Below are 12299 nucleotides of genomic sequence, written 5' to 3'. Positions count from 1 at the left end.
GTTGAGAATGTAAAATCTATAAAGTTCATTTTTTTAACTAGGAAAAAAACACAAATTAATGACAGACACCAAATTACAAATCCAAAAAGCTCAGAGAACACCAAGCAGGATGAATATTTTAAAAATATACCTAGGAATATCATATTCAAACCGTAGAAAACCTGTAACAAAGATAAAATATTAAAATAAGGCAGAGGAAGAAACACATTGTCTACAGAGAAACAGACATAAGAATTACATTGGACTTCTGTTTAGAATCCATGCAAGTAAGAAGTGTTGAAAAAATTAGAATACAGTGGGTATTTTTTATCCAAGTATTCATTATTTAAAACTGCAAGGTGAAAATAATTGTAACAAGAACATATTCACTAGCAATCTGAGCACTCATGTTATTAGTGTCTGTTCTGGAGAGAATTATGTCCCCCCAGAATTCCTAACCTGAAGCCCTATCTCCCAGTGTGACTGTATTTGGAAAAGGAGCTTTTAAGAAGTTAAAGGTTAAATAGGGGCAAAAGGGTAAGGCCCTAATCTGTTAGGACTGGGGTCATCATCCAAAAAGAAAGAGACACCAGAGATACATATCTCTCTCTTCTCTCTCTCTCTGCCTCCCTCCTTCTCTCTCTCTCCCTCTCTCCCTCTCCCCACATACATTTGTTAAATTGAGGTTTTTTGTTAGAACATATATAGTGGCATTTTAATATAGTATTACTCTACTTAAAACATACACACACACACACACACACACACATATACAATTTTGATAAATTCTTTTTTGAGGATAAGGCCGGGCATGGTGGCTCACACCTGTAATCCCAGCACTTGGCGGGATTATCATCTGAGGTGGGTGGATCATCTGAGGTCAGAGGTTCAAGACCAGCCTGGCCAACATGGTGAAACCCGTCTCTATTAAAAATACAAAAAATTAGCTGGGCGTGGTGGCGGGCACCTGTAATTCCATTTACTCAGAATGCTGAAGCAGGAGAGTCCCTTGAACCCAGGAGGCGGAGGTTGTGGTAAGCCGAGATTGCACCATTGTACTCCAGCCTGGGCAGCAAGAGCAAAACTCCGTCTCAAGAAAAATACAATAAAATACAAATAAAAAAACACAAAACTGGGATGTGTCCCTGTCTTTTAGGCAGATATACTTTACCATTACTAAAATTGAGCTTCAGAAACATTAAGCATGCTACACAAACTTAGCTGGAAATGAATACTGAAATGGAAGTTTGAATCCAAGATGATTTCTTTTGAATCCCATGCTAATGCTGTTAACTCCTATAGACCCTTCTCAGGTGCAGCCAGAGAGACACTAGCCCACTGATGGACGGACAGACGTGGGCAGGGTCCGTGTCACTAAACCACCCACCACTGCCACAGCTGCCTACAACAGACACATCAGATGACACTCCGGGCATATAAATGATTTTCACTGAGGACTTACTGGTTTTAATAATAGGTCCTGGTGTAGAGAAGTCCCTCAACCTATTGTGCAATGAGTTTTGAGAAGCGGGTAAGCTGTATGTTTTGTGGTTTTGTTTCATAAATGCATCTACAGGAAGACCAATATTGACTGAATGAAGCTTTCATTTAAAGAGCTAAAATATGCTTTGTGTTTTTATATGTGGATACTACTTTAAACCTAATGACTATTCATTGTATCATAGCTTGTGATGTATTCTGCTCATGGCTTTTAAGGTAAATTGTGCCATGATCCACTGCCATTCGAATTGCTTTAACAAGTCATTACCACACTACTGTTACATCTTAATTATGCATACAGACAGGTAGACTTATTTTACATATGTGAACTAACTAGTTGTCAAAGCAAATGCAGATTGTATTCTGCAAGTAAAGTCTTTTTCTCTCTGTAATTTCTAGGGATGTTCTTTAAGTGAAATTCATATTCAAACTGAAGATTTTAGTTACAAGAACTGAGTGCAGATTAAAGTCTTTTGTGATTCAAACATAGTCAAGAGTACAACTGTGATATTTCATGGAAGTTATGCAATAAAATGTCTCTAACCTGTGAACAAATCTATCAAGCAGACGGCACAGTACTGAATTTGAAACCAGAAATACTGGGTTTTTATATAAATGCTTCATAGATTTGTTTTATGATAAAGGGCACATAACTCTCCTAAACCTCACACCACCTCTTGAATAGGTATAATAAGTCCACATCAATGCTGATGCCTTAGCTATTATTAAACTCTTACAGTATGATGTAAAGTGAAAGTACAATGTAAGATCATTCCTAGGCCAACTTTGACCAGTTTTATACAGAAACATGTGCCAACTTTTCTGTTTGCAAGGATAATATCAAAGCAAACACCAGAAAGTTATATCTTTGATGCATTTTTTCAAAATCATACACATAATACACAAACCAAAGACAAATGATGAATATTATGTCAGAAAATATAAAGTCTTCTCCTTTCTTCTTTTGCCAAGAAAGTCCAATATTTTCACCATTTTTATGCACACAATCAACTTTATTTAAGCTGGAAGTTAATGTCTCATTGTTTTCATTGTTCTAAATAAACACCTTTTCCCTTGAGTATTGCTCTAAAAATTTTGAAGTTGTGTGAAAAATTTTGTTCTGATATTTCACATTTGTGCTAATGATATGTGAAAAGGAATACAGATGGTATTTAATTATGAACAGGAAAAGATGTTAAATATCATTAGTCATTAGAAATTTGCAAATTAAGACCACAATGACTAACACATATATATCAGAATAGCTAAAATAAAAATAAAACATCAAACGCTGGGGAGCATGAGTAAAAACTGGAGCTTTCACACATGACTGGTGGGAATGTAAAATCGTACAGCTATGCCAAAAAGGAGTATAGTAGTTTCTTAAGAAACTAAAGGAACCTGAGTCCCCAGGCCTGCAGTCTGGGCCAAGGACACTGGTCCTGGATCAATCAGGATGGGGTTCAGGGGCCTTCCTGGGGCCATCCAGTGTCCAAGGTGCCCTTTGGTAGCCTCGTCTGCCCCTCAGCCCCTGAGCACGTCCCTCTGTCCCTCCAATCCTCCCTGTCACGGGACATCTGTCACAGAGCCATGCCCTACCTCCTGCTTTCTGGAGATGCCAACTGCCTGGGGTGCTCTTAGCCCTGCCCTCCCTATCTCTGGGTCCTGACCAAGGTGCTCTAATGGACACCCCCTGACCCAGGTCTCAGAGAGCTGCCAGCACCCTGGGTCCCTGAAGCTGAGATCCAGCAAGACACATGTGGCCTGAGAGTCCCACTCTCTGGCTGGCAGAACCCAGAGGTGGGAGCACACTGGAGTGTCCTTCAGGGTGTCTTCACCCCATGAAAGGGCTGGGGGCTTTGGGAGTTTGCAGCTGGCAGGAGTCAGGGCCCAGTCCCCTAACTCTGATGCGTCCTTGGTCAAATCCTGTGCCTCAGCCTGCAGGGCCTATTGTGGTCACCAGGTGAATGTGTTCCCTTAGTCTGGGAGCCCCAAGTAGGCAGCACCCCCTGCCAACGACTTCAGGGCACCTGGAAGTGGAGGCTGAGAGGTCTCCCACTTCGCAGAGCTGGGCTCTGGCCCAGAGGCCTTCTCCTTGGCTTAGGTGGTCTCTCGGGCTCCTGGGGCTGCAGATCAGGGACAGAAACAGGGAGCTCTGCTCTGCTATGCCTACAGAGAGGTGCCCAGTGAATGCAGGTTCCAGACAAAAGGTGGAGCCTGGCATCCTGCCCTGCATGGGCTCCAGCCTGCTGCCATCTGGGGAAACTGAGTCATGGCGAGGCTCAAGGATGTTTCTCAGACCACACCAGTCCCTGAAGGTCCGCTGACCTCCCAATCTTGACGGACAGTGAGAAGAGGTTCCCAGGCCACCTGCAATAGGTTCTGGCTCGGCCTGGGTTGGGGTAAGTCTCCCGGCTGCTGTCCTCAAAGCCCCATCAGGAGGCTGTGTCAGGCCAGGCGCACCGTGGTGACAGCAGCATGGACTGAGGGTTCTGGCCACGGGAGAGGTCAGGACCGGGGGAGGTCAGGTCCAGGAGGAGGGCACTGGCCGGCACATGGTTGTGCTGGAGAGACCTGGGCGGCGTGGTGGGAATGGCCCAGGAGGAGCCCCGGCTCCTGTGGCTGGAGTGAGGGTGCGGGCTGTGGTGGGAGAGGAGGTGAAGGTGGAAGGAACAGGGGACCAGGGGCCTGTGCTGTAGGAAGGGCATGGACTTCCTAGCGAGGACTTTCTGGTGCGGGATTCTCAGGGAAGAGGAGGCCGGAGGGGCTGGGGTCCCCAGGAGTGCATGCGCCAGGCAGGTGGAGGGGAGGCCGAGCCAGGAGCCGCAGGCTTCTCACCGCCAGGCCAAAGCCGCCCTTCGCTGGCTGCGTGGGGAATCGCGCCTAGGCTGGGGCTCCCCTGGCCCCAGGTTTGGGGGATGCTGATGTGTCCTGGGGCGCTTACTGCCCATCCAGCCTCCGCCAGGCAGCATGGCCCTGGGTGGCTTTCAGGGCAGCCTCCGCAGCACAAGACCTGCCTCCGCCCTGTGGGGCAGATTTGGGCATATGACTCTGGACACTTATCCAGAGGCTGAATTCAACTCTCCAGGGAAAAGCACACTCAGACTCCCTCCCTCCCCGCTGTGCCCAGCCTGAGGGGACCCTGGCTGGGACTTGGGAGGAGAAGGCCAGAGGCCAGGGCCTGGCTCTCAGGCACTAGGTCCAGGAGAAAATGGAGCGGAGTCCCTGCAGGAACTGCCTCAGACTGCCCCTGAGGGGGCCTGGCCTGGGACCCTCCCTGTGCTACCAGGCTGCTGTTGGGGCCAGGAGGGCAGGGAGAGCAGCCACCTGTACGGCATCAAGTAACACTATCACTCAGCACACCCAACATCCACACAACAACCACAGCCCTCTGCCCTGAGGGGGCAGGTGGGCAGAGCCTCCTCTGTCTTGTTCACCCTGAGCATGGAGCTCCGCACAGGACAGGATCAGAGAGCAAACCAGGAACAAATGGATGAATCAACGAAGGGGCCAGGGCAGTAGGTCCCCACCCACACCCTGAACCCTAAGGGTGGGACACAGAGGCTGGAGACGGGCTGGCCCTGGGATCCTCTAAGTGACAGGAACCCTTGGCCACTGTTGATTTCCCCGAGGTGGGGACAGGGATGGTGGGGCTGGGGCTGCCTGGCCCTTTAAGAGGGCAATTCTGCCCACCGCCCTGAATGCCCCCTCCCCTAGCCACTGGAGAAGAGATCCCGTTTCTTGGCAACAGGAAGCTCTTGGTTTACTGTGTCACCCAAGCGACTGGGAGCCACGTCCTGCTCTGGGACTGAGCCTTTGGAGCCGACCGATGACTGCACTGGGCTGACCGCAACAAGCTGACCACACACACTCCTCACTCCCCTGGCCCTGGTGGGCGGCAGACACCATGGTGCAGACGGATGTGCTCCTACCAGAGCCGGCACCGCAGACAGTGTCGCCCTGCGAGCTGCCCTGCAAAGAGTATGATGTGGCCCGCAACACGGGCGTCTACACGTCCTCCGGCCTGGCCACCGCCAGCTGGAGGTGTGGTTCCAGAACTGCTATGCTCGCTACCACCAGGCCTTCGCCGACTGCAACCAGTCAGAGCGGGAGCTGCAGGGGCACGAGAGCCAGCAGCTGGCCGCAGAGACCCAGACGCTGGCACAGCCGACACAGCAAGACTCCACGTGCAGGGTGGGCGAGCGACTGCAGGACACGCACAGCTGGAAGTCGGAGCTGCAGCGCGAGGTGAAGGTGCTGGCTGCGGAGACCGACCTGCTGCTGGCCCAGAAGCAACGGCTGGAGCGCGCCCTGGATGCCATGGAGGTGCCCTTCTCCATTGCCACTGACAACATGCAGTGCAGCCAGTGCCACCAGCACGCCAACCTTGTGCGTGACCATGTGGAGACGGAGCTGCTGAAGGTGCCAGCAGCCTTGGGTGGCCAGGACTTGTGGGCACAGAGAGGAGGAGCCCCCGGCAGTTCATGTGGACAAGCCACGTGGCTGCTGCAAGCACACGGGAGACCAGCCCTCTATGCGTGAGACCCCTGAGTCCCGAAATCTGGCCCCTTAGTGACAGGAGGCAGTTTTGCCCCAGAAGGCCCCGACTTCCAAGCAGCTGTTTCTCCTCTCCTCCTCCAATACCTTTGAGTCCTGGCACAGTCATCCTGACCCTGGGCTCCCCAGAGACCCTCCCTGATTGGGACAGTTGCTCCCGAGGTGGAAACCCAGGTCTGGGCCAGCACTGTGGGTGTGGACAGGTAGGGTGGGATAGGCTGGGAGCCACTGCTCCCATTCATCCTATACAGAGCCGGGGACACGAAGATCTGCACCCACAGGTCCCCTTCTCCTTGTCACCTGTAACTTCCCAATCCAGCCCAGCTTGTCTATGGGGCAACCCCATAGGGTGAGAGAGTAACTCAGTCCTGGCCCTGATGCTGGCTCTGGAGAATTCCCTGAGCTCTCAGAGCCTGGGGCCTCCATGAGAACCACTACAGGCCTGTAGACATTTGTGAAAGATGTGGGGTGGAGGCAGCTGGTCTCCTGCCATACCCCCAAACTCAGGCAAGAACCCTTGAGTCCCTCCCTCCCTTCATGCCTTCCCTCCTCCCTCCCTTCCCCTTCTGCAGGCCTATCCCCCTGCACCTTCTCAGTGCCTCAAGAACTGCTGCAGCTCCCGCAAACCCTCTGCCTGCAACAAGGGTGCCTGCGAAGTGATGGAGACACTGACAGTGCAGGAAGAGGCAAACCCAGGGACAGAGGGGTGCAGGACTCAGGCCCTGGCACACAAGGAGGTAGCTGGTGGTCCCGGCAAAGACCCCAATCACAGGGAAAAAAGGCTTGTTCCTACACACAGAAAATTAAACTGGCCAGGCAGTAAGAAGAAACACAGGGTCTTCCTCCTGTTCTTGGTGTGAGGATGGTCTTTCCCAACACAGAGCCCTGAGGGGCAGCCTGGGCGGGCATCTGGGCCCCCAGAGTTTGGGTCCTCGGGGGCTGTCCAGAGGCCAGGGGCAGGCCAACGTTCCTGGGTGCACTGAGTGAGCAGCAGTGATGACTCTTGAGGCCTGGGGCGTGGGAACTGCCACTAAGGGACCTTCCCAGCAGCCCATAGAAGGCCCTTGAGGAAAACAACCCACTTACAATGCACCAAGGAGAATGCCCAAAAGCCCAGGATAAACCCAGTGAGAGAGCAGAACTTGCACAGTCAGAGCTCAGGCCCGGCATTCAACTATTTCTGGTTGCTCAGGTGTTGACCAAGGCCTTCAGCAGCTGGGCCTCCTGGGATCCTCACCAAGGACCGGATCTGGTGCTCAGGGCGTCTCCTCCCTCAGGAAGCTGAGCCCATCCGGAACATTAAGGAGCTGCTGAAGAGAGCCATCGTGCAAGCAGTGAGCCAGACCCTTGGGTCGAGGGCTGCCCAAGGGATGACTCCTGACCCCACCCACGGCTGGTCCTGGGGCAAGGCATTGAACGACAGAACCCTGAAGCTCAGAGCCGGCAGGGGCTGTCCCAGGTCACAGTGGGAGCACAGGGCTGGGTGGGGGAGGTTCCAGCCCAGCCTGAGTTTGAGTGGCCAAAGCCCAGTGCCACAACTGATCTGCAGCCTCCCAGCATGGGCGGCAGCTCTTCGTCACTGCTGAGCACAAGGACAGCCGGCCCAGAGCTCCCTCCTGAAGCGGGCATGAAGGCCTAGCCTGCAGCATGGAGGGTACCCAGTGGGGCCCTCCCTGGCCACACACCAAGACCCTGCCCCACCCCGCCCCAGACTGAACAGAGAGCACACGGAGATCTGCGAGATGGACTGGTCGGACAAGGTGGAGGCCTACAACCTCGACGAGACTTTCGGGCGCCACCACAGCCAGAGCACCGAGGTGCAGGCTCATCCGGCACTCCACCACCTTCCAAGAGATGGGGACCCCAGCTCTGTCCCCGTGCTTGCCCTGGCTGTGGTCTCGCCTCCCTCTGCCTGGGGGCCCCAGCGGCGCTGCTTCCCCCAGCCTGGCCCAGAGGCCCTCGCCCCCGAGGGCACTTGGGCAACTGTCTGCCCCTGGCATGAGAAAGCGTGCAAGACCTCCTCAAGTGCCCAGCGCGTGCACAGCCTGGTTGCCCGTAGACAGGACAGGGTGGGATGCGGTCAGCCCCAGGCGCCGGCAGGATTGCATTTCCACCCAAGGCCAGCAGAGGGAGCACGACCACCGCCCACTTGAGCATGGCAAACTCCTGGGTGCGAGAAGCGGACGCGGGCGCTGGGTACTAGGGAAGGGGGGCTGCGGGGGACGGAGGTGCTGCAGAGGGGGCCTTGGGGGCAGCGGTGCTGGGAACGGGGTCGCGGGGGCAGGAGGGGACTAAGTGCCCGGGGTGGGTAGGGTGTGGGTGGACTCAGGGGAGTTGTGGGCGGGGGGCACTCGGAGGCAGGGAGCTTGGGGGACTGGGCTTTGTGAGTCTGCACGGGGTGCATTGGAGTCCATGCAGTTCCTCCAGGAGCATGGGGTGCAGACAGGGAATGGGGGCGCGGCAGGGCCCCCAGCCACTGGCATAGCCTCCCTGACCCTCTCCTGGCTGTCCCCAGCCCCGCAGCGCCTCCACCCCAGAGACCCGGACCAAGTTCACACAGGACAATCTGTGCCACGCCCAGCGCGAGCGCCTGGACTCGGCCAACCTGTGGGTGCTGGTGGACTGCATCCTTCGCGACACCTCCGAGGACCTGGGACTCCAGTGTGACGCCGTGAACCTGGCCTTCGGGCGCCGCTGTGAGGAACTGGAGGACGCGCGGCACAAGCTGCAGCACCACCTGCACAAGGTGGGGCACCCTGAACCCCGAAGACGGCTCCGGCGCCTGCCCACCACTCTGCCCCCTCTCATCACCTGGCCTGGGCCCTCAACACCTTTCTCCTCTGTCCCACTTATCCCGAGGGACCCCAGAAGCAAGTGTCACCTCTCCGTAAACCTATGTAAAACCAGGTGACACTGGGTATGATCGCAGTGTGTTGCAACCCCCATGACTGAGAAGGAGGAGCTGTGGGGAGGATGGAGGCAGGAGCTGGTCTGGGGAGCATTGACTGCCTGGGAGGTCCCCAAGAGTCCTGGCCTGGCAGGCAGGGCTCTGACTCTAGGGCCTCAGCATGGCCTTTACCACCTCTGAGTCCCCAGTCCTTGAGCAGGATTTGGGTCCTGGTGACCACCAAGGATGGGGGGTTCTTGGACCAGAGCTAAGAGACAACAGGCTGCCTGACTCTCCAGAGCCCGCTGGGGGCCCCGTGCACATTGTTCCCCTCACCCACGCCTCCCCAGGGCCACTGGTCAGGACCACCCTCTGGACACAGCCCCAGGAGCTGGGTAGGACCAGACTGGTCTCTACATTCCATATGCCCGGGCATGGGGGCACAGGCCCAAGGGGCACTGTCCTGTCTGCAGATGCTGCGGGAAATCACAGATCAGGAACACAACGTGGTGGCACTGAAGGAGGCCATCAAGGACAAGGAGGAACCTCTGCACATAGCCCAGACCCGGCTGTAGTTGCTCTCACACCGGCCCAACATGCAGCTGTGCCGCGATGCAGCCCAGTTCAGGTACTGCCTGGGCCTCTGAGGCAGTCCCAGGTGCCCCCATCCACCTCCTCGCTGCGACCCTCTCCAATAAACACTCCAATCTCCACACACACATCCCCCACAGGTGCTGAGAGGGGAGGGAGACTCTGCGGCCACACACAACATGCAAGCACGCCTTAAACACACAGATATAGACATGACACTGGGCAGGTCATGGGTCGGGGGCCTCCCCGTGCCAGGGACCTGTGCCCACGTGGTCTCACCCCACCCTGTGCTACCTCATCTTCCCGGGAGGAAGCTCCTTCAGACAAGGTGAGCTCCTGGAGGCCACGGGGCCAGAGAGGCCAGAGAGGGCCATTCCCTGCTGCCCTGAGGGTGCTGTCCCCACCTCTGGTGGAAAGTATGACCTACGCCTGGGCTACAGGCATAGATGGGCCGTCCTTTTGTTTCCCTTGTTAACGGATGCCTGGTGGCCCCTTCTGAGCCTAAGTACCTTTCTTCCTTCCCTGCCCCTCAGTTCCTTCAAGGAACTGGGTGCCTCCTTCCGTCAAATATCAGGAATGGAAAGAACTGAGCCTGGTCGGCTGAGGCCAGTCCTGTCCTGTCAGGGTCGAGATTGCACGCGGGTCACTCATTCCCACTCAGGCCCGCGCTCCCTGGGAGGACCCTCGTAATTTATGCTCTGCCCTAGAGCCGCTTTCCTGGTAGGATCCTTTCATGGCGTCTTCCCAGGACCTCCTGCCAGCTCCCATTGGGAGTTTTGGGTCCCCTCCACCCCAGTAGGTGCATACTTCTGCCCTCCCCAGCCCCAGCTCACACCCCCCAACACCCCCAAGCTGGTGAGTGAGGTGGAGGAGCTGTACAAGTCCATCACAGCGCTGCGGGAGAAGCTTCTACAAGCGGAGCAGTCCCTGCGCAACCTCAAGGACATCCACATGAGCCTGGAGAAGGACGTCACTGCCATGACCAACAGTCTCTTCATCGACCGCCAGAAGTGCATGGCCCATCGTACTTGCTACCCCACCATTCTGCAGCTGGCTGGCTACCAGTGAGCAGCGGCACGGTGCTTCCCCCCAATCCCCCAAATAAACAGTGCGTTAGCTTTCTGCACAGTGTGTGTGTGTGCCCGGTGGGACCTCCAGTTGCTGTCCATCTGAACTGGCCTTTGGGTCCCCTGTGAGGCTGGCTCTGCCTATGGACTTGTCATCCCAACAGTTGGAGATGAGGGGTCAGAGCTGAGGGGGAGGAATCCCTGTGCCTCAGAGGACAGGACATGCCCAGGTGGGGACTGGGCCTTCACAGCACAGCTCAAGTGTGGGTGCAGACCGTGTGTCCAGCTCAGAGCCAGGCCATCCAGTTCCCCCTGCCCACTTCCCCACCAGTGCTGGCTCCTCCATTCCCTCACCAGAGTCTTAGGGACTTGGGACATCTTTGGGGCCTCTGCATCTCCCCAACTCCTCTCCCTGCACCTCCAGGCCCCCAGCCTCAGCTCACATACCCCTGTGACAGTGCGCTTATTCTGCTAGAAGCTGGTCTGGCTGCTGGGTGCACCTGCTGTGGCGATCCTCCAGGCAGGCCCCACGCAGAAGCACCCACTTCAGCATCCCCTCTCCGTCCCCAATGACAGTGTGTACCTGAGCTCAGCCCAGCCCAGCTCTCAGTGCCCAGGACCCCTGAGGCTCAGATGGGCAGATCGGCAGGGGTACATGGAGTTCCCTCCGGGGTGTGGGCCCAGTGTGGGGAGAGGGGCCTGAGAACAGCCCAGGGTGGGCATCCACCTGGAGAGCATGTGGGTGGGGGTCCCATCTGCAAGATCCAGACCCACAGGGCTCTTGTCTCAGCCTGAAGGGGACCGGGAGGTAACAGCCCCTTCCCCCCAATCAACCACAAGGACACCCAGCTGGGCAACTCTGTGAGCTGGGTGGGGTCAGCCAGGTGGAAGTTGCTGCTAGGGGTTGCTGGGAGGAGAGGCATGGGCTGCCTTTCACGTGGGACTAACTCAGACCTCTCTCCCCGACCTGCTAGGACCCCTCCAGAGGCCACTGCTGAAGATGAAAAACACTACTGCCATTCACTGGGGGAGGTGATAATGTTGACTGCAGGCAGTTGGCTCAGGGAGGAGCCTTCTTGGGAATCCTACTCAGCCTGGATGGGGAGAAATCTGGGAGAGGCTGTGTGTGAGCAGGAAGTGCAGGGAAGACTTCCTGGAGGAGGGAGCCTGGCTTCCACTGCACAGGCCAAGGCACAGGGGCTGGGACCAGGGAAGGAGGTGTCTGGGCTAGGCCTCTCGCTTTATCTTGAGCTCTGGTTCACTGTGATAGGCTTATTGCTAACCAGGCCCAGCCCTCCCCAGCTCCAAACCCGACTGCCAGGCAGTCAGGATTCTTCTGCTCACCCAGCCACTCTCAGAGATGCAGACCCAGACCCTGGAGGGTGGGCCTGAAAGCTTCCAGGACCTTCTCTCCAGTGCAGATTCAGGGGGAACTGTCACTTCTCATCACTACGGAAGCCACACTACTTGTCACAAGCCACCAGCCACTACAGTGACACCCAGGCCCACTCTTATTCTTTGGGGTGCCATTTAAATTCACCCTGGATGCTGTTACCATGGGGCTTTGACAGCCAGGAGCAGAAGCAGTGGGACACAGCAGCCAAGCCTCACCTGGGGGCTGCAGACAGTTGGTGTCCTGTCCGTGTAGCTCCTCAAAGCTGCTCCAGGACACCAGGCAGGGGCTGAGGCAATGACCTGCCCAGGGAACGCCAAAGAAC

At 55.8% G+C, this 12299-nt stretch overlaps 2 pseudogenes across 3 annotated transcripts in view; both read left to right on the top strand.

Annotated features, from left to right (window-relative positions):
• Nucleotides 1–10640, top strand: part of TEKT4P2 (tektin 4 pseudogene 2) — a 61406-nt pseudogene extending 50766 nt beyond the window's left edge. The window contains exons 3-4 of one of the 3 annotated variants that reach the window (NR_038328.2): nucleotides 8552–8782; nucleotides 10337–10640. The product of NR_038328.2 is annotated as a tektin 4 pseudogene 2, transcript variant 2 (transcript). Of the gene's footprint in view, nucleotides 1–1281; nucleotides 2580–8551; nucleotides 8783–9396 lie in introns of those variants that run through there. The other 2 variants (NR_038327.2, NR_038329.2) reach the window with 2 other exon arrangements.
• Nucleotides 5387–6896, top strand: LOC124904995 (tektin-4-like; annotated as a pseudogene).
• Nucleotides 10641–12299: the final 1659 nt, after the last annotated feature.

Source organism: Homo sapiens, chromosome 21 (genome assembly GCF_000001405.40).
Source record: "Homo sapiens chromosome 21, GRCh38.p14 Primary Assembly".
Taxonomy (NCBI): domain Eukaryota; kingdom Metazoa; phylum Chordata; class Mammalia; order Primates; family Hominidae; genus Homo; species Homo sapiens.
The sequence above is the reverse complement of the archived record's forward strand: the minus strand, read 5'-3'. Positions and strand labels throughout refer to the sequence as shown.